Source organism: Homo sapiens, chromosome 14 (genome assembly GCF_000001405.40).
Source record: "Homo sapiens chromosome 14, GRCh38.p14 Primary Assembly".
In the NCBI taxonomy this organism is placed as follows: Eukaryota; Metazoa; Chordata; class Mammalia; order Primates; family Hominidae; genus Homo; species Homo sapiens.
The window spans coordinates 89,618,460-89,643,921 of record NC_000014.9 but is presented as its reverse complement, the minus strand read 5'-3'; the positions used below and the strand labels follow the sequence as shown (position 1 = coordinate 89,643,921).

Here is a 25,462-nt window from a genome sequence, read left to right as displayed (position 1 = left end):
CAAGCAATCCTCCAGCCTCAGCCTCTACCTCCTTAATAGCTGGGACTACAGGCATGTACCACTGTGCCTGGCTAATTTTGTTTTGTTTTGTTTTGCTATAGAGACAGGGCCTAGCTATATTTTCCAGGCTGGTCTTGAACTCAAGAGATACTCCCACCTTGGCCTCCCAAAGTGCTAAGATTACAGGCATGAGCCACTGCACAGCCATTTCCTACTCGTTTCTACTTCCTGTGGGACATCTCATAGTCTAATTTTATTTACTTATGAAATGGAGAAAATAATTAATGAGATAATGTTCATAAAATACCTGCTTGGATGAAGGTGGGCTCTGGAATGTCCCAAACAGTTTGAAGTACCAAGTCTAAAGCTGTGAGTAGAGAGAAAAGAGCAGAGTCAAAAGAAGGACTGTGACAAAGAAAAGGGAAGATAAAGTGGTAGCTTTGGAGGGCCAACTATGAGAAGATTTTTTTTTTTTTTTGAGACGTAGTTTCGCTCTTGTTGCCCAGGCTGGTTGCAATGGCATGATCTCAGCTCACCACAACCTCCACATCCCGGGTTCAAGCGATTCTCCTGCCTCAGCCTTCCATGCAGCTGGGATTACAGGTGTGCACCACCACGCCCTTCTAATTTTGTATTTTTAGTAGAGATAGGGTTTTTCCATATTGGTCAGGCGGGTCTCAAACTCCCGACCTCATGTGATCCGCCCATCTCGGCCTCCCAAAGTGCTGGGATTACAGGCCTGAGCCACCGCACCTGGCCAAGAAGATTTTTTAAATCCCCAAAACATAGGAGAAAGAAGGAGAGTTCCTGGAACCTACCTTGTGGATGGGGAGGGAATTATTTTAATAATAAGAGCACTAACCAGTGGGGAAATTTTTAAGTGAACTATAAATGTAGTTCTGCTCTCCACCTTCAAGTCACATAATGTTTCTCACCAGACTATAAGGAGGTCTGTTCATTCATTCATTTGCTCAGCTTTCAACAAAGACTGTATGCTTACTACCTATCAGGCACTGTGCTAGGTACTGGGGGTACAATAACAAAGTAACTATAGTTGTTAAAAGAAAAACTAATAATAATATGAGGACTGTTTTCTGTTCTACCACCAAATTCCTAAAATCCTGGAAAATACAGAAGCTCCTTACCATAACATGTGTCAAACTTGAGTTGACTTTAAATGGGGTCAACATTTATTGGCAAAAGAGGGAATCAAAGATTGATGTTGAGGTGATTTATTTTTCCCCAAATGTAGAGAATTTGCTGAACGAAGGAAGATGCAGGAAGAGAGGCCTTGGTCTTGAGTGGGGCAATCAGCAAGCTGAAGACTTCTTCTACTCATCTATTGACATTCATTGGTGTGGCATCGGCTCCTGCAAAGACCTCATAAACTGGTTTTAGGCCAACAGGAGACAAAGTTCCCCGTACTAAAAGGGTACAACCCTTGGTTTTCACAGGTGGTCTTTTGTCTACTGACCTTACACTAGATCAAGTCTTTGCATTAGGCTAGTTATCTACCATCTCTTAATAATACATTGAAAAAAGTCATTTCCATTTGCATTGAAGAATTCATCTGAAATCGTGTCTGAAAGATATATTTGTATTTTGTAGTTACCAGATGAGACAACTTTATTTACAAAATGGTGTTTACTATTGACTACTTTAAAGATTCAGTGAAATACCAAAGAAAAGGTACTTTAATTTGGGGCAGAAAGAAAGGGAGTCAGAATCCAATATGATGTTCCAGGTGGCTGGTCACAGCTCTGCCCAAGCACAGAAAAAAATAAAGCTAGTCTCGCGTTATCTTAGAACCTATTTTCTTCTTTTTATTGATTTTGGCTTTGACAAAGCTTAGAATTATGATTTCAAAGACTCCAGGGGATTCCCAAGTGATCACCTGCTTCATTTTACTGATCAGGAAATGGAGGCTCAAAGAGGTTAAATAGTGCTAGTGGTTGTCTATCATGTTGTTGCCAAGAGTTTACCGGACACAGGCAATGGAGAAAGGTACAGTTCTTTTTCTGCTTCTTTTTCTGAAAAGACAGGTGGAACAATATCTGGGATATGATATTTGGAGTATCTTTTAAAGCTACTGAGGGTTTCACAAACAACTCAGTGGTACTTTCATAAAAGGAATGATCGATCAGTTATTGGAGTATTATTTTATCTGCAGTACCTAGAAGAGCTCTTTTCTGCGAAATCTGATAGTAGTCTTAGTATCGGTTTCAACCTTTGACTCTTTCACTTTACTCTAACTGTGTCAACACAACGTGGACAGGGTTTTCCCTTGACTCTCTCAGCTTCCTTTTGTACTGCGTTGGTAGAAGCAAGACTCACACTTGCTGTCTGTGCAATACAATTGTAAATGTGTGTGCATATGTGTGTGTGTGTAAACCCAGATCTGTGGAATTTTACTATCCTATCCAACAACTCAGTAAATAGGATTTTACATTACAAGTTTCTTCCCCCTCTAGATGATGAAGAAATGATTGGTCTTTTAATTTAAAACACTCTTTTAAAAAGAAGGTTGCATCAGCTACAATAATTTGGATAAAAATATTTCTGCTCATTCATTTTTCACTGAGCCAACTAGTCTGCCAACGAAGCTGCTTCTTTATTTGAATTCAGATTGATAGTGAAATATTTTTAAGCAATGAATTTGTGGTTTTTTTAATTTTTTGATCATTTAAAATCCAATATTGCACAGAGTATAATTATTTCTTTCAACAAATATTTACCATAACTTTGAAGCTAAGTTGTACTCTCTCAACTCTTTCAGAGGCCGAAGGTAATGAAAATGCACTGAAATAAGTAAGGAAATCCTAGATTCTGATGAACTATATGACTATGAAGAAAGCACTTAACCTGACTAGGCCTCAGTTTCCCTACTTATAAAACAATGGGATTGGCCTAAACAATCTTTTTTTTTCGGATGGAGTGTCTCACTCTGTCGCCCAGGCTGGAGTGCAGTGGTGAGATCTTGGCTCACCGCAACCTCCGCCTCCCGGGTTCAAGCAATTATCCTGCCTCAGCCTCCTGAGTAGCTGGGATTACAGGTGAACGCTACCATACCCGGCTAATTTTTGTATTTTTGGTAGAGAAAGGGTTTCACCATATTGGTCCAGCTGGTCTTGAACTCCTGACCTCATGATCCACCTGCCTCAGCCTCCCAAAGTGCTGGCATTACAGGTGTGAGCCATGGGGCCCGGCTGGCCTAAAGGATCTTTAATGTCTCTTCTAGTCCCAGGATATCATGTTTCTATATACTTGACTTGGCTAAGAAATACAGGAGTCTCATTTAGTCCTGAGGCATCTACAAATAGCATCTACATGCCAATGATTTCCAAATCTAGGTGTTCATCTCCACTGCTTGGATGAGGATAACCTCATCTAAGCCCTCACCATTATTCGCCTGGACCAGTACAATTAGCACCTAACTTGTTTCTCAGCTTCCAATCTTGCTCTTCTGAAAACTACTTTTTTCAAAATAGAAAGCAGATCCTGTTCCCCTCCTCCTTAAATTCCTTCCGTGGCTTCTTATCAGAGTTAAGGAGAAATCTGAACTCCTTACTCTGACATATGAAGCCCTACATGATAGGATTCCTGTCTATTGACTCAGTTCTTTGACTCTGAACTTCTTCACTTCTGTAACTCTGACCTTCTTTCCTTTCCTTTCCTTGAATGTGCCAAACTCATTCCTCTCTTAGGATCTTGCACTAGTTCTTTCTTCTGCCTTAAATGCTTTTTCAATAATAACTTGGTTCCTTCTTGTCATTAAATTATCATCTTTGGAGTCACTTTCCCCGAAATAATCCTTCCCTAACCACTCAATGTGAAGGAGTCACCACATTACTCTTTATCATGTCATTCTATTTTAATTATCAGCACAGCACTCATGATTATCTGCTCATTTTCTTGCTATTTATTAATTTTTTGTGTCTTTCCTCAATGACATGCAAATTCCAGTGGACAGAGACCTTACCTTGATCACCAAAAATCCCCAGCACTAGAACGGTGCTGACACAAAATAGGATCTCAAGTACTTGTTGAATGAATATTGAATACTGGAAATCCCTGAGTCTCAAGAACCCCAAATGGTGTAAACCAGATAGTGATGTTTGTCTCTTTACATATTTGTTTATAAATAGATATCTTTGTGATTTGGGGAAGAAGCATCTGCCTTATGAACCTATTATAAATATCTGGAGCTCTCTTAAGGATTTATCTAATAGGATTGGTCTCATAAAATGACATGGCTATTACAAGCCCCATATGAAGTACCATATGATTGAAAACTAAGAGGAAAAAATAGGCAATAGAAACAGACCTACAGGTAATCCAGACATGGGGCATAAAAGACAAGGGCTTTAAAATAACTATGATTAATATGTACAAGAAAATAGAAAAAAAAAAGATGAGTATTTTTACCAGAGACATGGAACCTATACAAGAGAATAATATGAAAATTTTTGAGTGGAAAAATCTGCTCTTACCCATTAAATGAGTTTAATAGCAGTTTAGAAGAAGAAGACGACAAGTTTGTGATTGAAAGACAAGTTAATTGAAAATGAACAGGTAAAAGAAGAATAGGGAAAAAATAGACAAGAAAATAAAAGATATAAGAGACAGTGAAACGGTCTAACATATAGGCAATGAGATACTTGGAAAGGAGAGATAATAGGATAGAAGTAATATTTGAGGGGCAATGGCCGGTGTTTTCCAAAACTGATGAACAACATCAACCCACAGATTCATGAAGTTCAGGGAACCCCGAATGGTAAATACAGAAAAATCACATGTAGGAACATCATATTACACTGCTGAAAACTGAAAATGAAAGACAACAGGAAATAATACTAGAATCAGAGTTGTGGAGCTGGAGATAAAGCTATAAAAAACCCAGATAACCCAGAAACGGGGGAGTTTGTCCTTGAATAACCTAGAACACAATATGAATGCATTTGAGTTATAGCTATAGCTATAATTTGATTTTTTAAATAAAAATGTTTTTACATTAGGGTTCACTCTTAGTGTTGTACATTCTGTGGGTTTGGAAAAATGTACAATGACATATATTCACCATTATAGTAGCTTACAGAATAGTGTCACTTTCCTGAAAATCCTCTGTGCTCTGCCCTGCCTATTTGTCCCTCTCTTTTGCCTAACCCCTAGTGGCTCACTTAACTTTTTTTTTTTTTGGAGACAGAGTCTCGCTCTATCCCCTAGACTGGCAAGCAGAGGCACAATCTCGGCTCACTGCAACCTCCATCTCCCGGGTTCAAGAGATTCTCATGCTTCAGCCTCCTGAGTAGCTGGGACTACAGGCGCTTGCCACCACGCCCAGCTAATTTTTGTGCTTTTCGTAGAGACAGGGTTTCACCATGTTGGCCAGGCTGGTCTTGAACTCCTGACCTCAGGCAATCTGCCCGCCTTGGCCTCCCAAAGTGCTGGGATTACAGGCATGAGGCGCTGCGCCTGGCTGCCACTGAACTTTTAATATCTCCATAGTTTTGCCTCTTCCAGAATGTCGTATAGTTGGAATCATACAGCATGTAGTCTTTTTAGATTGGCTTCTTTCACTTAGTAATAGGCATTTAAGTTTCCTCCATGTGTTTTCATGGCCTAATGGCTCATTTCTTTTTAGCAATGAGTAATATTGCATTGTCTAGATGCACAAAATATTTTCTCCTGGTCTATAGCTTATCTTTTCATTCTGTTGATATAATTTGCTTTTATAACAATATATCTGAACAAAGAAATTATATATTGCCACACATCATTCCATTGTACAATAGTTTATCCATTCACCTACTGAATGACATCTTAAGTTACTTCTAAAGTTTTGGCAATTATGTATAAAGTTGCTATAAGCACTTGTGTGCAGGTTTTTGTGTGGACATAAGTTTTCAACTCCTTTGGATAAATACTAAGGAACATGATTACTGGATTATACGGTAAGAGCATGTTTAGTTTTGTAAAAAAAAAAATCTGCCAAACTATTTTCCAAAATAACTACACCATTTGCATTCCCACCAGCAATAAATGATGGTTTCTGTTGCTCCACATCCTCACCAGCATTTGCTGTTGTCAGTGTTCTGGATTTTGGCCATTCTGACAGCTGTGTAGTGGTATCTTATTGTTATTTTAATTTGTGTTTCCCTGATGACATATGATGTGGAACATCTTTTCATATGCTTATTTTCCGTTTGTGTATCTTCTTTGATGAGGTGTATGGTAAAGTCTTTGCCCCATTCTTTAACTGGTTGTTTTCTTCTGATTGAGTTTTCAGAGATCTCTGTGTATTTTGGACAACAGTCCCTTAACAGATATGTGTTTTGTGATTATTGTCTCCTGGTCCATGGCTTATCTTTTTACTCTCTTGATAGAATTTGATTTTATCACAATATATTTTAAAGAAGAAATTACATATTGCCATACATCAGATTCATCATTATTGCTTATTCCTCAACATATTTTTTATTCATTGATTCACTGATTCATTCACTCATTCATTCAACCCCTCTTGCAGATATTTGTCAAGCACCTTCTATGTGTCAGCCCCTGGGTAATGCTCTTGGATTGCGTTTGCAAACAAGAGAGACGTTTTTGCCTTCATGGCACTGTCTGAGGTACTTTTACAGAATTATTTAATTGATTACTCCCATCCATTCTTTAAAAATGCCCATTTTACAGATGAAGAATCTAAAATTCAGGGATATTAAATAACTTTAGCACAGTTATAGAGCCTAAAAGGGACAGAGTGGTGATTCAAACCTAGATTTACCACATGTCAAAACCCGTATTCTCTCTCCTGAGCTATATTGTCTCCATGGAATGTTACCACATCCCCCTCTGTTTAAGCCCCAGAGATTCTTTCAAGTACAAATCAAATCCTTTTATGAAATTTTCTTTGACTAAACTATTAACCCCCCTCTCCTGAGAGCCTGTAGCACTCTTCATCCATACCACACAATTTAGCACTGAACTCTATACTGTCTTGTTTAAAGATACCCCATGTGAGTTTGTACAGTCTTCCCAAAGCCCTGGAAGGCAGGGATGAGCTCTTACAATGTTTCTGGGTTCTTTCCTACCTAGCACAACACTAAGCATAATTAACTTGACCCTTGAAGAATGCGGAGGTTAGGAGTACGGGCCCCCATGTAATCAAAAATTTCCATATAACTTTTGATTCCTCCAAAACTTAACTACTAATAGCTTTCTGTGGGTTGAAATTATTGATAATATAAACAGTTGATTAACATACATTTTGTAAGTTATATTTTGTAATCATAAAGAAGGGAAAAGATATTTACTATTCGTTAAATGGAAGTGGATCCCCATAAATGTTTTCATCCTTGTCGTCTTCACCTTGAGTAGCCTGAGGAGGAGGAGGAAGAGGCAAGATTGGTCTCGTTGTCTCAGGGGTGGCAAAGATGGAAGAAAATCCATGTAAAAGTGGACCCATGCAGTTCAAACCCATGTTGTTTAACAGTCAACTGTGTATATTTATTGCTTGATTGGAAACTAAATTTCATCCATTTATTCTAACTTCTGGATTAAAGTTGAACCCAAAGGATAGAGAAAACATTTTGAGGACCTACAAGGATTTTCTTTAATCTGAGGGCCATGGAGTCCACAATTCCCTTGAAATCACTGCCATGTTGTGTATGTCTTTGCGCATATATGTGTTTGCCTCAAGTTTTCAACAGAGTATGAGACCTACCAGAAGTTGAAAAACATTCGAAGCAGATCTGGTGGTCCACTCATTAATACTCCATCTCACTTTGTGCTACATCTTCCTTTCTATCTAGAAAAATAGAGTTTATGTTTTATAAGATATCACAGGTCATTTCCCCTTCGACATCCATCCTTGTGACCCGGCAGAGAAAACTGGCCCGTTTTTTCCCTCTGGAACAACAACAACAAAGTTCGATCCTAATAATTCCCACTCAATTATGAGAAGTAAGACATGCACCACAACATTTAAACAGGATTTTATAGTCTAGTTTTATTATTCAGCTCTTACTAAAATGCTAATCCCCTGAGACAGAGAGAGAAAAAAAATCCCTGTATGAGTTCTTCAGCATAAACAAACATCTCAAAGAAAATGGAATGTAAAAACCGCATTGATAGAATTTTAAAGATACAGTAGGAAAAGGAATGACCAGACACTCTCTATGGCCATTGAGTAGGGAAGGGGTGAAGGGAATAAGCAGCTTCTATAAAGTAGAGTGAGCAGCCAGGCGCGGTGGCTCACACCTGTAATCCCAGAGGGCGGATTATGAGATCAAGAGATCGAGGCGGGCGGATCATGAGGTCAAGAGATTGAGACCATCCTGGCCAACATGGTGAAACCCCCTCTCTACTAAAAATACAAAAATTAGCTGGGCGTGGTGGCGGGCGCCTGTAGTCCCAGCTACTCGGAGTCTGAGGCAGGAGAATGGCTTGAACCCAGGAGGTGGAGGTTGCATTGAGTCGCGATCACGCCACTGCACTCCAGCCTGGGCAACAGAGCAAGACTCTGTCTATAAAAAAAAAAAAAAAATAGAGTGAGCAAAAATGGACAGTGGGAAAGTAGGTAGGTGTGCCTTTCTGCATCTGTGAGCCCCATGACCACAGAGTCAGCCACCAAGGACAGTGAGGCTGGGCTTTTCTGGTGACAGAGATCCTAGTATGATCCCAGTATGCCCAGCAATAATTTTTAGAGCAATGTTAGAACACATCCATCCAAACAAATTAGCTAGCATTCCTCCCTTGATGTTAACAAAAGCAAATTCCACCACATGATCTAGCCTATATGACCTCTTGCCAATAAAAAATATAAAGTATATCATGAGGTTTTCACAAATATCTACCAAGAAGTGATAAGCGTTTCATTTTTAAAATTTTCCTTGGCAATATCAATAGATCTGCCCCTGGGATTCTTTTCTAGAAATTAAAATCATGGACTTTACAGAGTCCCAGCTTATATCAGTAGGTTAAACTAGATGGAACGTCTGAAGATTCTCGCTTCCACTAAGTTCCCATAAAAAGGAAAGATACTAACTTGGTTTCTAATCCTGTTTCCCCACTTTGCTTAGCAGATATTCTGAAGAGGCACACATGGTGATCAAATCTGATTTTATTTATTTATTTATTTATTGAGACAGAGTCTCGCTCTGTTGCCTAGGCTGGAGTGCAGTGGTGCGATCTCGGCTCACTGCAACCTCTGCCTCCTGGGTTCAAGCGATTCTCCTGCCTCAGCCTCCCGAGTAGCTGAGATTACAGGCACCCACCACCACGCCTGGCTAATTTTTTGTATTTTTAGTAGAGACGGGGGTTTCACCATATTGGCCAGGCTGGTCTCGAACTCCTGACCTTGTGATCCACCCACCTCAGCCTCCCAAAGTGCTGGGATTGCAGGCGTGAGCCACCACACCTGGCCTATTTATTTATTTGAGATGGGGGTCTCACTCTGTTGCACAAGCTGGAGTGTGGGGCCATGATCATGATTCACTGCAGCCCTGACTTCCTGGGCTCAAGGGATCCTCCCACCTCAGCCTCCCCAGTAGCTGGGACTACAGGTCAATTCTAATTTTTAGATAGCATAAACCATGACATGTGAGTATGAAGGATACCACTTGTATAGTAAAGAAATGTTGCAGTGTTGAAGGCCAAGGTTGGCCTTTGGACCCAGGCGAGTACCTGGGGCTGCCTGGGTTACCCTCTCTGCATTCTATGTCAGTCCTGGGTGGGGCATTGTTTATTCCTCTGAATTCTATAAGGAGAATCACAGGCAGGCAGAATTCCTGAAGAGTATCTCCAAGCCTCAGCCTTCTTCCCTCTAGTTTTGTTCAAATATCAAAACTAGTTTTGCTCAGAAGTCATAGTATGTTCCTTGACCCACAGATCTGGTAGCTGGATTCTTGCATTGCTTCCCTATTCTGCTAAATTACCTGGCAGTGCAGTTCCCGCTAAGAAAAGGTCCTCAAACTCAGCCCAGGGGCTAGGAACCCTTTATCCACCAATGGACTAGCTTAATTCTATTTGACTGTATCTCTAGGTCCCAGTTGCTTTGCTCCATTTGTCCCTGAGCATGGACTAAGGCATGTGAGTATGCCCAATGATGGCACTACCGCAGTAGATGCCATAACAGCACCTGGGACTAGTTGGGCTCCATCCTGGTCTAGTTCTGGGTCCAATTCTAACCAATCTTTCCTGTTTTGCTACAGCTACGAGGCTACATCCTACTGGGTCCTGAGCTCCAAAATATGCCTTATTCAATATCTGTATTCGTTCTGGACTCCAGAACAAGAACTTTCTAGAAAGATTGGAGTAGGGCTAATGCTATATGATGGGGGGCAGAGGGGGTTGGTAGTTTCAGTTGTGAAGAGAGGCCAGCTGGAGAGGCTGGGGAAGAAGAGCTCTCAGGGAGTGGTAAATAAGAAAGAAGAGTAATCCCAGCTTAATCCTCTTTTATTTCTCTTCCAGTGATTTCCAGGCCCAATTAGGGCTCTGGTTCACTGTCTGGGATGCTGCTGAGCGGGTGGTCCAGGAAACACAACTGTGGGGTTTGCAACAAGCCCTGGCCCAGCGCACGTGGCATCACAGGGGAAGTTAGGTTTGCATCTAGAAAGAGATCTAGTCCGAGCGTGGAGAAGGCAGAACCAAACCCACATGGTTGAGACCCACATCTCAGTTCAGCAGTTCCAGAGATCCTGCAAGCCCTAGAGCCTTTGCAGGCAGGTATGGTCAGGCACGGTGCCCTGATGGAGGTTACAAGCAAAGGCAGGCAGCCTCCAGCTGGGCGGGAGTCTTGGGCTTCATGGGCTTCCCTCTGCATTTTCTTGAAAATGCCACTGGAAACATCGTTTGAGAGAACGGCTTGTCACAATTGTGGGATGTGGTAGGAGATCAGATTTGACTATTTCATTTCATTCACTCTTGTCACCCAGGCTGGAGTGCAGTGGTGCAATCTTGGCTCACTGCAACCTCTGCCTCCTGGCTTCAAGAGATTCTCGTGCCTCAGCCTCCCAAGTTGCTGGGATTACAGGTGTGCGCCACCACGCCCAGCTAATTTTTGCATTTTTAGTAGAGACAGGGTCTTGCCATGATGGCCAGGCTGGTCTTCTGGCCTCAAGTTAGCCACCCGCCTCGGCCTCCAAAACTGCTGGGATTACAGGTGCAAGCCACCATGCCCAGCCTCAGATTTGACTTTAAAGAACACGGCCTCTGGGTTGGGCGTGGTGACTCACACCTGTAATCCCAGTGCTTTGGGAGGCCGAGGCAGGAGGATGGCTACAGCCCAGGAGTTCAAGACCAGCCTGGGCAACATAGTGAGACCCTGTCGCTACAAAAATTAATAAAAGTAAAAAGAACACCACCTGTGAAGGCCCAATGGCACCTTTCTAAGACATTCTCTCAGCATCATGTTAGTGCATCCTGAACCTCCCTGAGCTGGTCTGTGCAGCAGGCGCCCTGTTTGCATTGCCCCCACCTGAGAGTGTGGGCCCCTGGGGTGCAGCAGCACCTCCCATCCCCACCTTGTCACTAGCACCTCTCAGCCTTTCAGCAGCAACATGTCCTCACATCAATCTTTTAAAAAAATATTTCAAATTATGAAATAAATATATAGTTATAAAAAGTTAAATACAAAATATGACTATACTAAAATTGTTAAAGACTTATGAAGCACCAAAGATATACAATTACTCATGTACTATTCTTATGACCTGAAGGAGTATAAAGATGTATAAGAAGGCTTGGCGCAGTGGCTCACATCTGTAACCCCCACACTTTGGGAGGCTAAGGCGAGAGGATCACCTGAGCCCAGGAGTTCAAGATAAGCCTGGGCAACATAGTGAGATCTTGTCTCTACTAAAAAAAAAAAAAAAAATTAGCCAGGTGTGGTGGCACATGCCTGTAGTCCCAGCTACTTGGGAGGCTATGGTGGGAAGATTGCTTGGGCCCAGGAGTTCAAGACTGCAGTGAGCCACAATCATGCCACGAAACTCTAGCTTGGACAACAGAGCAAGACCCTGTCTCAAAACAAAACAAAATGAAAAAAAGATGTATAAGTAAAATATTCTGCTTTTAAAGATCTATTATTTAGCAAACTAGATAAGCCATTCATGTAAGTGTGTAGACTACAAGAAAGTATCTGGTATGGTATGTGAGTTGCAAAAACAATAAACGCATTAGCAATGTTATTCTAAGTGTGACCTGTGGCCTCACCTATATTAAAATCACTGAGGGGTTTATTAAAAATGTTTATTCCTAGGCCGAATCTCAGGTCTACTGACTCAGAATTTCTGAAAGTGAGACTTTGGAAAATGTGTATTAAAAAAAAGCTCCCCAGATGAATCTTTTTTTTTTTTTCCAGACGGAGTCTCGCTCTGTCGCCCAGGCTGGAGCGCAGTGGTGCGATCTCGGCTCACTGCAAGCTCTGCCTCCTGGGTTCATGCCATTCTCCTGCCTCAGCCTCCTGAGTAGCTGGGACTACAGGCCCCAGATGAATCTTTGTACAACAAAGTTGAGAATCATAGCCCTGGCGTTCAGAAGACAGGAAATGGTTTCTCTGTAAGTTAATGTGAACATCTCTATGGTGATGAGATTTGAGAGATTCCCAGAAAGGTTTTCCCAGGACATCATATGGCAACATCACTGTGGAATTTATCACATTGTAATGCAAATTCCTTTTCCTTGTCCACCTTTCCCAGTGGACTAAGTGCTCTTTGAGGGGAGAGCTCTAGTCTTTTTTGCTGGAATTGGCGTGGCCCCTAGTTGGTTCTAAATATGTGTTGGCTTAACAAGTGAAAAACCACATAAGACCTAAACAAATAGGTTTGAGGACTTATAGGACAGGGTTCTAGGAGGAGAAAAGCCATAGGCAAATTCCAGAGGTTGGAAAATCACAGTCAATAGTTAAGTGTGAGAGGGGGAATGACTAATTTAGGTGAGTAATTGACACACTCAACAGCAAAGCTACGTGAGCAATTATGGGGTCCTGGAGCACTCGGCGGGAAATGGAAAGTGTACTCTGGATTCTGTGGATGATGGGGAGTCACCAAAGACTGGGGACTGGGAAGCGATGGAATTGAGGTGGTATTTTAGGGTAATGAGTTCTATGGCCATGGGCAGCTTCCTTCCTACCCTGGGAGTAGGAAGGAGTGGAGGTAGGCAGCCACGTGCAAATCCTCAGAGGAGTTAGGGATCAGCTTGGTCACTGCTGGAGGCAGGACTTGCTGCAATTGCAAAACTATAGCTTCCATTCAAGCCTCAGGATCCCCCAGGGTCCTGACCCCATGGATAACCTTTGTTCCTTTGCTGGCTTCCATCTGCTTGGTCTCCTAGGTCTGCTTGAGCTCTCCTCCCTTGGCTGCCCAAGCACTCTGTGTCATCTGGTGCAAGACAACTGGGAAGCAGTGTGGGGATGTGTGGGGGACCGTGGCCATAGAGAGGGGAAGGGGGCTTCACCGAGGCAAAGGCCAGAGGGATGGAGAGGAGGGCCAAGTTTATGATTAATTTCTAAGGCAGAATCTGTAGAATTTGGTGAATGAGGGTGGAACAGGAGGGAGGGGCGTGTTGAGGATAATTTTGAGCTTTCTGGGCAGTAAATATAGGAATGTAAGAAGTGAATGTCTGGTTGGATGCAGTGACTCACGTCTGTAATCCCAGCGCTTTGGGAGGCCAAGGAGGGCAGATCACTTGAGACCAGGTGTTCCAGGCCAGGCTGGGCAATGTGGAGAAATCCCATCTCTACAAAAATTACAAAAAAATTAGCTGAGCATCGTGGTGTGTGCCTGTACATACCCAGCTACTCAGGAGGCTGAGGTAGGAGGATCACCTGAGCCCAGGAGGTAAAGGCTGCGGTGAGCCATGATCATGCCACTGCAGTCCAGCCTGGGGAACAGAGCAAGACCCTGTCTAAGAAAAAAAAAAAAAACAAAAAAAAAGTGGAGGTTTGGAGCAAAATGATAATAATCCAGATTGAGACATTGAATTTGAATTTGAGGTGACAGCAAAATATTCAGGTGGAGGGCTCCAGGAGCTTATTAGAGACAGGGATTTGAAATTCAGGAAATATGTGCGTGCTGGTCATTGGTTACTGGTGATTGTCAAAAGGCATGAAAATGGACGTGATCACCAAGAAAAAGCATGTGGAATGGAAGAGAAAAGAACCCATGAGAGAACTGCGGCCTTAGTTGCGGGGGTGGTGCGGGGGAGGAGGACGAGCCAGTGGGAGAGATGGAGAAGGACTGGTCAGAAAGGGAGAAGGAAAACAGGAAGAATGTAGAGCTCAGTAAAGGCAAGAGTTGCAAGAAAATGAAAGTAGCAGTGTGACACAGCCTAGATAGGTAGATTAAGCCGTTGGGGATTTATTAGTGCATTAGTGAAAGTGATTTCAGTGGAAGCCAGATTGACAGAGACGTGGGAGGAAAAGAGGTGGAAATCACGGCCCCTACCCTTTGCAGCTGTGCAGGGATGACCACCCTCCCTCATGGAGTCACAGTCGCTGGACAACTGACTACACAAAAAATTCAAAATGAAAGGCAAAGGGCCTTTCATTGTGCCCTCCGCTCCAATTCTCTTAAATCTACTCTGCTTTCATTTAAGACCCTGAGTATTTGTTGCTGGGCTTATTTTTACGGCTGCTAAAAGTAATGCAATTGAAAGGATTAACAATATCTTTGTCTCCTTGTTTTGGAAGAAATTATTCTACTTCCACATTTAACTTGCTGGGAGAATATGAAAAACCTGTATTCCTGGTTTTTATCAATGGAAGCTCACCTTCTCTCAATCTTTTCAGGGATCAGTTCTTTGCTCTTTGAAACGAGATGATCCATCTCACACTGAAAGTTTCCTATCGTGAGGTTCAGTGTCATCTAGAGTCAACGGATGAAGTATAAGTGTTCACTGTGGAATTTCTACAACACAAAAAGAAGAGGCTGGATAAAGAAGATAAACTGAATATTGAAACTGTTCCTTTTCCATTAAAAAATAGCAAAAAAAGTTTTCCCTGTAACTACGGAGGGTTTTGTTGTTATTATTGTTGTCATTGTCGTCTCTTTCTTTTGGCCCAAACTCTAGTGTATTACGTTCTCTGTATTACACTTTCATAGGAAAGACTCCTACCAGTGTTACCAGAAATAAGTATCAACACGTGCCCCATCTTGCCCATGCAGAAAAGTACTTGAGATTAAATTTGCTTACATTTCTGGTTGATTCACTTAGCACCAACAACCCAGGTAACTAGTGAAATCTCATTCCATGGCTGCAGATGCCCCATCCCTAAGTGTATGTTGTCATGACAGGAGGAGTCTGACCAGTCAGGGATCAGCAGGAACACCATGCCACCACTGGAAGAATAATGGCTTGTTGGTGCAACTGGTATCCATGATAGAGACTCTGAGAGGAGACTCCTGCGTCAGTCAACAGAAGCTGAGCATGGCTGATCTGGGCAGGAAGGGCATTTATTTACAGGATGGTCGGTGGCTCACAAGGGTCCTTAAGAGAGCTAGAGGATCAGCTCCAAGAGGATGCAGCCTGGATCAAGGCCTAAATTAAATTCGTGCAGCAGATAGGGCAGGTGATGGCCCTGCTATGGACACCAATGCTGTTGTGCTCTGCCACAGAGGCTGTTGCCACTCCTACAGCTGCTGGATGAAGCACTACCCCACTCCCTCCTATCCCCAGCTGCTGGGGGAACCTAGGTTATGCCCCTTGTACTCTCAACTGCAAGAAAGGGTGGGCATGTGGTCTGTGCCATTTCCAGTTTTAGCGGGGGTGGCTTTGCCTCCAGAGATTGGGGATTCCGCGGGCACAGGAAGGGGTCACATCCTGGGCAACTAAAAAGAGTGACAAATGTCATTCTCATACTTCAGAACTGGGGCTATGCCCTAACCTAGATCCATTAATGCCCTGCGGGTAGCAGATGCGAACCCAACTTTTGATTATGAACGCTCTGCCAACAGGCACAATCAAATGTCCAGGTGTAGCTCCTCTACATTCAGGAGTCACACCTCACAGATTGCCAATCACCTGGAGAGCTGAGCAACTTGACAAGACAGACGGTTTGCTTTTTAAAGCTGTGACTCTCACAGAATCCACTTAATGTAGCCATATTCTATTCACATGCTTTGATGGGAGGGATGTCGAGGCTCTTCATAAAACTCACCATTCACTCAATGAAAATCTCCTTCTGGGCTGGGTGTGGTGGTTCATGCTTGTAATCCCAGCACTTTGAGAGGCTGAGGCCGGAGGATTGTTTAAGTCCAGGAAACCAGTGTGTGCAATATAGCAAGACCCCGTGTCTACAAAAAATGAGAAAAATTAGCACACACCAGCAGTCCTAGCTACTCTGGAGGCTTAGGCAGGAGAACTGCTTGAGCCTGGGGAATTCGAGGTGGCAGTGAGCTATGACCAAGCCACTGTTCTCCAGCCTCAGAGCAACAGGGCAAGACCCTGTCGAAAGAAAGAAAGGAAGAAAGGAAGAAAGATCTCCTTCTGACCCCCTGCGAGTACAATTTGCATGGTATTAAAAAATGAGAACATAAAAGGATTTAAATTATCTGCTCCTTATTAAGTTAGGGAAAGAAAAGATATCCTCAGCATTTTAAGATGAACCTCTCAAAAACTACTCAGAGTGGCAAGCGGATATAATCTACAGTGTTATTTGACAAGATTGCTCTTCCTAGTCACCACCCACCAAAAGGGAAAGCTTGGAGCTGATTGACTGGCAAGCCATTCATTTTCTGTGAAATAAGGGAAGCACTGGGGGCTTATACGGTAAGGTTATCAAGTATCTTACATCCAAACCTACTTTAAAATGACTGCCACATAGGTAGTGGTTTTACCGGATAGTAACATTTGCTATTTTAAGGTTCAATACGGTACCTTGTAGGCACTGAAAACCCAAGGGATTTTTCTTGGTGGTGATAACAGCTAGAGATAACATAAATTGCCTCTTATTTTGGTAACGAAGACTTGGCATGTTTTTGGTCACTATGGAGGTATCTTAATATAGTACACTAAAAATATAGGTAATCTATTAGTCCATTTTCATACTGCTATAAAGAATTGCCTGAAAGTGGGTAATTTATAAAGGAAAGAGGTTTGACTGACTCACAGTTCAGCATGGTTAGGGAGGCCTACAGGAAACTTACAGTCATGGCAGAAGGCAAAGAGGAAGCAAGGCACCTTTTTTTACAAGGTGGCAGGAAGGAGAAGTGTCGAGTAAAAGCGGAAGAACCCCTTATAAAACCATCAAATCTTGTGAGAACTCACTCACTAGGACGAGAACAGCATGGGGTAAACTGCCCTCATGATTCAATTACCTTGAATCTTGAGGTCTCTCCCTTCACACGTGGGGATTGTGGGGATTATGGGGATTACAATTCAAGATGAGATTTGGGTGGGGACACAAAACCTAACCATATCAGGTGAAGTATGACACCCGCTGTGTAGCCATTACGAATTTTGATGTATTTTCATAAGATTATTGTTATCATTAGATGAGCATTTGTTGCAAAAACAGAAGAGTTCACACCACTCACCCAACTTCCTGTAATGTTAGTACTCAAATAACCATGACACATTTACCAAAACTAAAAAATTACCACTGATACAGATGATTAACTAAACTACAGACTTCATCTGGAGTTCCCCACCATTTCTTGTGAATGAGAGACTTTAGCACCAATTTGAGCTAGAGGGTCCAAGCAGCCATAGCAGAACTACATTAATTCAGACTGGCTGGGACTAAACATAAAGATGGCTCAAACAAGCTCTAACATCTACCACTTGGCGTGCCAATACTTTGCATGCATGATCTAATTTCATCCTCCACAAAAATCCAGGTTGGGGGAGGGTAGTGGATACTATCACATGCACTTTGCAGATAAGACCGTGGGGCCTGGGATATCAGGCAATATGTGGAAGACAGCTGAGCTGGGAGACAACAGAGCCCAGATGTGAACTAAGACATCTCTGATTCAAAAACCCACGATCACGACCACAATGGCACAGACTGAAGTGCACCTAATCCAGGTGTGATGCAGAGACCGCCTCTTTCCACCAGCAGTCTTGCCCAGGACCCACCTTCCAAAGGTCATCTGGATCAACTGTAGCGGGTGACCATATGTGGGAGGTTGTCCCGTAACAATGACATGCGCCTCTCAATGACACGGGGTGTTCTGTGATGTGTGGAGTCAGTTTCCACCCTCGACACCCCTACCCTGCGTGTCGCAGGAGAAGCCCTCCCGGTCTCCAGCAGCCTCTGCGGCTCTCCTTCCTCCCGGGCTGGGAGTGGGGCGGCTCGCGGCTGGCCTGCTCCGGGGCCAGAGCAGCTGGGAGGGGCGCAGTGCAAACATCCCCACGCGCCTTTTGCTTTTCTTTCCTGAGTGGTTTAAGGCTTAATTAACGTGTGTAAAGTGATCTGAAATGCGGGAATAAAAAGAGCTGGGGAAGTGCAGAGTGTGGATGATTACCTGAGGCGAGACAGCTGAGAAAGGGAGGCCGAGGGAGACAAAGGGGGGTCTGGAGAGGCTGGGAGAGGCCTTCCCGCAGCAGCCAGCTGGTTGGCTGAGAGCCAGATTGGGCTGTTTTTTTGGCAGCGTTCTGCCCCACGCTTTCCTCTCAAGGCCTTCTTCGCAGCCCTGCTTGGTAGTCAGGCCCCAGGATAAATGATTCCTAAAGGGCCTGAGCCAGAACTGAGAAGGGGGTCTGAGAAACACAAGCTGTGGGCCATTCCATGACTGGCTCTGTAGGAGCCGGGGATGAGATGCCGCCCATTAGCCATTATTGCCAAAGCAAGCCCGGGTTTGGTCAACGAAGGAATAAATGTGATAGATATCAGAGAGACAAAGGAATCAAAGTGAGTTTTGTCCATTCCTCTTGACAAGCATAGATTCATAGGACTGATTTAGTGCTGTCACCGCTGAGGCAATAAATCCCTTATAAAATGGTGGGTAAAAGTAATGACATCCAAGTCACGTGTGATTTCACCATCTCCTAAGCCTGCGTTAGTGAAAGGGTGAGGCTATCGGTTTCATGGGGAATGTTAAGGCTTGTGACTTCATAGGGTGAAGACGGGTGGCATTTTATTGCAATTGGAAGCATACAAAGAAGCAAGTGGAAAATCTTTCTTTCAGTATAACCTGATACCACCTATATCTAGAAAGCTGGAGAGTGTTCCGGGGATCTTCCCAGTACAGTGAGGATTTCGGTGCATCCCTGTGTGTATATAAACGGTGGCGATATATACAGCCTATTCTAAACTGTTTATGATGATAGAGGGGAAAAAAGTTTGTTTGGATAATCCAAAGTTTATACTGGGCTTTCATCGTGTTTTAACGTTGTGCTTGGGCTGATAGTTGCGTAGTTATCCATCTTCTGAGCCTGCAAACCGAGGATGGGGCTACTGGTGGCACCCAAGCTTGGCAATCCAAGTGAAGAGAAGGATCCTCGCTTCCCCTGGCTTCAGTTAGGGAACTTCAGAGGACCCTAATTGTCCTGGCATGGGGTCAAGTGTCCAGCATGCTGTCAAGTGCCCACCCTGGGCTCAATCCTGCTGTTCCCACTCAACACCAGGACCATGGCGTGGAATGAGAAATCCCCCCAAAAGGAGCCAGGTTGCCACCCCGCTTTGTGTCTACTGCAACTGGGTAGTTAAAGTGGCCAGAAGACACTGTTGTCCTCAGCCTGTTGCAGGGGCAGCCAGGACCCCCCCGTAGTTATCCACTGTGTTCTTTTCTAGGCATTGCACTTCTGATGGATTCCTCCGAGAGTTGTGTCTGTGTGGTGCCTTTGGTGTGTGTAACATCACACATCACCCATGGATCACTGAAGGGTCATCTGAAGCCACCAACGATGAATTCCTTCAGGTCTGCATCTGAACTAGGATAATAATTACCTCCTAATAAGTCACCCTGCCTTCTGATATCTACAACATTTTGGATCGAAATCATCCTCCATACACTTTCTAGAATTATCCTGGTAAAACACAGTCTTTTACAATGTGATGGTTAATTTTATGTGTCAGCTTGACTGGGCCATGGGGTGTCCACATATTTGGGTAACCATTATTCTGGGTGTGTCTGTGAGGGTGTTTTTCAGATAAGAGTAACATTTGAGGCCAGGTGCAGTGGCTCAGGTCTATAATCCCAGCACTTCAGGAGGCCGAAGTGGCCAGGAGTTTGAGACCAGCCTAGCCAACATGGCGTAACCCCATCTCCACTAAAAATACAAAAATAAGCCGGGCATGAGGGCACACATCTGTAATCCCAGCTACTTGGGAGGCTGAGGCAAGAGAATCGCTTAAACCTGGGAGGCAGAGGTTGCAGTGAGCCAAGATCACGCCACTGCACTCCAGCCTGGGTGACAGAGCAAGGCTGTCTCAAAAAAAAAAAAATAATAATAAATTAACATTTGAATAGGTAGACGAAGAAAGCAGACACCCACCCTAATGTGGGTGGGCCTCATTCAATCAGCTGAAGGCCCAACTAGAACAAAAGGCTGGCCCTCCCTCTAGTAAGAGGGACCACCTCCTCCTGCCTGACTGCCTCGAGCTGGGACATTGCTTTTTTTCCTGCCTTCAAACTCAACTGAAATATCAGCTCTTCCTGGGTTTGGAGCTTGCTGGCCTTCAGACTGGAACTACACCATTGGTTCTCCTTGGCCTACAGCTTGCTGGGTGCAAATCTGGGGACTTGTCAGCCTCCTTAATCACATGACCCAAATCCTTATAATCAATCCCCTTTTTTTTTCTCTCTCTCTATAATAAATACAGCCTACTGGTTCTGTTTTTCTGGAGAACTCTGACTACTACAAATAACTTTTTATTTATTAACTTTATTCATTCATTAAAAAAATTTATTGAGCACCTACTATGTACCAGTCACTGTTTTATGTTCTTGTAAATTATCATTGAATAGAGCAAAGATTCCTGGCCCTGTAGAACTTTATTCAGTGTGTGTGTATGTGTGTGTGTGTGTGTGTGTGTGTGTGTGTGTGTGTGTGTGGTGGAACAGATAATGAATAACAAAAATGATAAGTAAATAGTAATGTATTAGAAAGGGGAAAGGGAAGAAGGGAAAAAGCAGGATGAGGAGGAGTAAGAGACATTGGGAAGGGAACATTTAAGCAAAGGCTAATGGGAGATAAAGGGGTTTCCCAAGTAGAAATCACAATCAAGTTCAAACCCCAGTGGACTCTGGATCCTGCTGGCATCTCCAGCAGGATCTGCAGACGCCCCCTCAACCGAAGCCTTCACTTTAGCCTCGTTGCTCCCCAGGCAGTGCACTGGCCCGCCTCGCATTTTCATCCCCCGACACCTTTGCCCAGTGCCTAGGATGTCCTCTCCAGTGGGGACTTTCTTCTCCCCACTCTCATGTGCATCTCAGTGAAGTCACCCAGAAACTAACCCCAGCAGAGAGCCAAGAACGTCCTCACGCTGGACAGTTAACAGGAAGTGGCAGTGTTACCTGAGCCCAGGGCCTACAGTCACCTGAGAGAAGCCTCAGCCAGATGCAGCCACTGCTAGAGATGCCATCAGAGGCAGGAGAGACATGATGACGTTCTCTGGCTTCTATCTTCTTTTCATCCTCCACTCCTCCAGTGACCCTCATTGGCCACATCTAGCCACCAACTAACTGACCCAAGCGTCTGTGAAACTCAGCCTGCCAGAGACAGCTCCTAGCAATACAGAGCAAAGGGCAGGCCTGGAATGGCTTAGAAGACAACTGGCCCATTATCAGGGCAGTTGGTGTTTGAATATAGAGCACCAGTGATCTGAGCACTTGTTTGGAGGTTCTAGCAGGGGAGCGCAGCTATTCATACACCCTTGACCAAAGACCAGTCCTCCTCTATCAGGGACAGTCGTCCTCTTCGATGGAGTGCGCAGCTTCAGGAGGGACGCAGATGGAGCGGTGAAGGAGAAAGGGGACACCTGCCTAGCCAGCCAGATCAGCTGAATCAACCCTGGAGATCAATGGGATGACAGATGTCGCAGCCAGATTGCCCTCATATCCCCAGTGTCATGATTTTACTGCTCCACTGATACCACTGCACTGCAATTGTTTGCCTGTCTGTGGGCTCCATACGATAGGAGTGCTTGAAAACTTTATTTTTTCTACCCAGAGCCTAGAACAGTACCTTGCTCGACATTTGCTACATACACAATTGGACGAATGGATGAATGAATGAATGAACGACAGTTTCTCCTGACCAGTACCTTTCTGGTGTGCTCTAACTTTGAGCTAGAGGTGAACTGAGCTCACCACCAGCATTTCTTCCCAGCTTCTCATCATTTGCTACTGGGGCTAAGATTGTTTTGAGCCTAGCATTTGCAACATTTGCCAGGCACATGGATGGTGTGACTATGAAGTAATTAGACCAGTTTTCAACAAAGGGATCAAATGAATTTATCAAGTAAGTTTTGCATTAATCCTTCCAGGAAGGTCATACGCATTTTCCAATGATACGACCGTGCCTAGCCCCGTCCTTGTGAACAGCACAAGAAAAGGAATGAATCACTTTTCAGAATGAAATGTTTCTGTTTTTTTTTTTTTTTTCAGTTAAATGTCACCCAGCCCGTCACCTGGCTGATATTTAAGGACACGTCATCAGAGAAGTTACATTTCCTTTTGGCAGAGAGGAGGAGGAAGGGGACCGCCACACACAGAACTGGGTGGTGACTTTACCATAGGTGCAGGAGGGCTGAGAAGGGACCTATCAAAGTTCCAGGGGTCACCAGGTCTGGACAGAGACACCCTGGATGCCACTAATAGGCCACCTTGTATATGAATTTACAGAGTTTTTGAGGCCTTTCGGTGCCGGGACTGCTCATAGAAACCCAGGTTCAATTTGACAAAACACTACTCCTCCATGTGTCAAGTGGAGTCAGTTCTTAATTTCTGATAAAGAGCAAAAAGACATATGGGGGATGAGGCATTGCTCAGCCTCAGAGTTTGAAGTCTTCTGCCGGCCAGGTTGCCCTGGGCAGCTCCAGGACAGAAATCTGACCAGTGTGGGTGGGTCTTCCTAGCCATGTTTCTCATTTTAGCAGAGACTAACATATTTCCAACAAGCCTCATATTTGCTTGCTGGTAAATTGCTGCTCTGAGACAGGTAAGAAATGATGACTAAAAAAACCTACCTGCGTTTTTGTTTCGGATGCTTCATTTTCCGCAGTACTTACAGAGAGATAGTTGGGAGGCCAGGTGATGTACTCAAAAAACAGGGCTTGTTGAAAGCGGAGACAGGATGGGATTCCAGCTGCTCTGCTCACCAGCCATGTGATTTTTGAACAAGTCACTTTACCTTTTGGGACCTCCAATTTCTCATCTGAAAATTGCAGATTATTGTATCTGCTTTCTCACAGAGGTGTGGTAAAGATCGCATGAGATGTATGTGCAAGTAATTTAAGATTGACAAGTGTAACATATGACAACTAGTTCTTGGCGTGGATATAAGGCATCAGAGAAGGTGCCTTTGATGTTTAATTAATACTAAAAATCTTCCATTACACTTGTTTAGCTAAAATTGGAAAGGGGGAGGGCAAGAATACTTTTCAAAGGGACTTTTTTCTGCTTCAAAAATAGAAATCAGAAAGCACATATTTGATTTTCCTTATGGTGTAAACCACAGTGCCATTGTTATTAGCAGTTTTACAGAATTGCGACCTTCAAACTTGGTGATATCAAAGACTGAAAAAAAGCTCCCAGTCTTGAAGCCTTTCAAACAGGCTTTTCTAACTAAAGCACTTTTATTTTGAATTAAGGGCTAATAGAATTGTCCTCTTAAATGAGCACTTGCAAGATTAAAAGTTGCTTTCCAGGTGGGCTGCAGTAAATGAATGTGCCAAGAGGTTGCTGAAAGCCCTTTTGGGGGCAAACGAGGGGAATCTGATATGAGTTCATGTAACAAACACCCTTTTCCCTTTGTGAAAGAGAAACCTGGAATTTACAGTCTTTCTAATTGTACATGAGCTGATTTGTGTATACATCTAGGATCATAATTTACTTTCAGTTTACTGAATTTGTGAATTTTCGCATTTGTTTTAATTTGTAATTAAGTTCTCTCTATGAGGCACGCCATATGCCTCCATTAATTCTTTCTCGTTGATTTCTTAGGAGATACATGAGTGCATATTTTCATGCAATTTTTGAGGTCTTTTGAAAATCAAATGACTACATGTTTAGCCATATGGGGCTTTGTTATTTAAAAGAGCATATTATAAAGTAAAAGAAGGCGAAATGCAAAAGGGCCTGTTGTCAACAGGGGGAAAATATTGGGAAAAACAGTTTAAAACATTGTTTTAAACACACACATTTTCAACCTTTTTTCTTTTTAGCGTTATATTTTTGAAATCTATCTTTATCGATCCCGTACCGCGTCTCACCGTCTGTGAACGGCCAATGTCACCAGTGCACCCGGCAAACCTCTGTCTGCCAGGTACTGCCCCTACGCTTACCCTCGGGCTGCAGATCCTAGCATCTGCCTTCTAAGAGTTCAGTTGGAGCCAATGTCTTTCTTTTGAACATCTTGTGCCAGGATTTGACATTAAGCTCCAGTTCATCCGCACACCCCGCGGCCGCTTTCGCAAGGGACCGAGAGGGTGGCGGCCTCGCCCGGAGACTCGCGGCGCTGGGAGCTGCCTGCCCTCGGTGCGGGCTGCAGACCGGGCCGCGAGGCGGGCGCGCGGCGCGCACTAGGACCCAGCAGGGCTCCAGGCCGGGGTGGGAGCCGCGCCGCCGACCCCGGGCGGGCGCCGGGCGCAGGAGCCGGGGTTCCGGCCGCGATCTGCTGCAGCTCGGCCGGGAGACGGCGCGACCCGGCGGCGGGGCCACCCGCGAGTCCAGCGTCGCCGCAGCCCCCCAATGCGGCCGCGAGAAGCAGCGGGGGGGCAGGCGATCGAAGGTAACGAAAATGGGGCTCATTTCCTGCCTCCTAATCTGCTCGGGTTTAGCATTGTCACGAGAAGCCCTCCGTGTTCAGGCTGCTGCATTTTGGGGCACTCTTTGATTTTTTTTAAAGGTGTCCGCCCCCCTATTTCCACCTGGTTTCAGATTGATTTATAGCTTGCAGCCCAAATGGGAAAGATCCAGCCATGGCAAGTTGCTTATTTTCATTAGTTTTGTCTCAAAAGTAAGTTCATTAAAAAAAAAAAAAGTTTCTTAGGAATGTGTGGATAGTCGCTTTTTAAAATTTTTTTTAAAAAATTGCAGACAAATGGATATTTATAAAAATAATCAAATAATTGATGCAATTCTGTTAATTACTTTTAGGGAAGCACACTTCTGTGGGCTCCCCGGGCGTTACTTTTATTTTCAAGGAAGGAACGTGTTAAATGTGGAGTTTGTTTGGCTGGGCAGAGTTTACAGCATTGCTGTCGCAACTGTTTGGCTATCAATTATAAACAGTGTCAAATCTATGGGCAGTTTCAGCCTCTTTTCAAATACTGTAACGGGTTATCCTGATATGACAT

General features: G+C 43.8%; 1 protein-coding gene, 2 long non-coding RNA genes and 1 pseudogene across 3 annotated transcripts in view, besides 6 other annotated features; 2 read left to right on the top strand and 2 right to left on the bottom strand.

The window, feature by feature from the left end:
• Nucleotides 1-307: 307 nt before the first annotated feature.
• On the bottom strand, nt 308-24,605 carry LOC105370617 (uncharacterized). Its single transcript, XR_944131.3, has 6 exons — nt 24,449-24,605; nt 16,154-16,289; nt 14,767-14,903; nt 7,721-7,804; nt 7,311-7,375; nt 308-367 (listed from the first exon to the last, which is right to left on the bottom strand). It is a non-coding gene; the product is annotated as an uncharacterized LOC105370617 (long non-coding RNA).
• LOC105370616 (uncharacterized) lies at nt 1,841-15,001 on the top strand. Its single transcript, NR_188191.1, has 2 exons — nt 1,841-2,004; nt 14,786-15,001. It is a non-coding gene; the product is annotated as an uncharacterized LOC105370616 (long non-coding RNA).
• Nucleotides 17,073-17,132: an enhancer, noted in NCBI's record as "active region_8869". NCBI's record gives its function as "activates an Ori minimal core promoter by ATAC-STARR-seq in GM12878 lymphoblastoid cells {active_cell/tissue: GM12878}" and the evidence as "EXISTENCE:reporter gene assay evidence [ECO:0000049][PMID:35858748]".
• Nucleotides 17,804-18,377: an enhancer, noted in NCBI's record as "H3K4me1 hESC enhancer chr14:90091889-90092462 (GRCh37/hg19 assembly coordinates)". NCBI's record gives its function as "activates a minimal SCP1, AML or CMV promoter by ChIP-STARR-seq in naive H9 embryonic stem cells {active_cell/tissue: H9 hESC(naive)}" and the evidence as "EXISTENCE:reporter gene assay evidence [ECO:0000049][PMID:30033119]".
• RN7SKP107 (RN7SK pseudogene 107) lies at nt 21,767-22,004 on the bottom strand (annotated as a pseudogene).
• Nucleotides 24,360-24,859: an enhancer, noted in NCBI's record as "H3K27ac hESC enhancer chr14:90085407-90085906 (GRCh37/hg19 assembly coordinates)". NCBI's record gives its function as "activates a minimal SCP1, AML or CMV promoter by ChIP-STARR-seq in primed H9 embryonic stem cells {active_cell/tissue: H9 hESC(primed)}" and the evidence as "EXISTENCE:reporter gene assay evidence [ECO:0000049][PMID:30033119]".
• Nucleotides 24,360-25,361: a biological region, named in NCBI's record as "H3K27ac hESC enhancers GRCh37_chr14:90084905-90085406 and GRCh37_chr14:90085407-90085906".
• Nucleotides 24,587-24,966: a silencer, noted in NCBI's record as "silent region_6001". NCBI's record gives its function as "represses an Ori minimal core promoter by ATAC-STARR-seq in GM12878 lymphoblastoid cells {active_cell/tissue: GM12878}" and the evidence as "EXISTENCE:reporter gene assay evidence [ECO:0000049][PMID:35858748]".
• Nucleotides 24,757-25,462, top strand: part of FOXN3 (forkhead box N3) — a 462,989-nt gene continuing 462,283 nt past the window's right edge. Inside the window, exon 1 of the mRNA NM_001085471.2 lies at nt 24,757-24,894. The gene's annotated coding sequence lies outside the window, so the exon portion shown is untranslated. The remainder of the gene's footprint in view (nt 24,895-25,462) is intronic.
• Nucleotides 24,860-25,361: an enhancer, noted in NCBI's record as "H3K27ac hESC enhancer chr14:90084905-90085406 (GRCh37/hg19 assembly coordinates)". NCBI's record gives its function as "activates a minimal SCP1, AML or CMV promoter by ChIP-STARR-seq in primed H9 embryonic stem cells {active_cell/tissue: H9 hESC(primed)}" and the evidence as "EXISTENCE:reporter gene assay evidence [ECO:0000049][PMID:30033119]".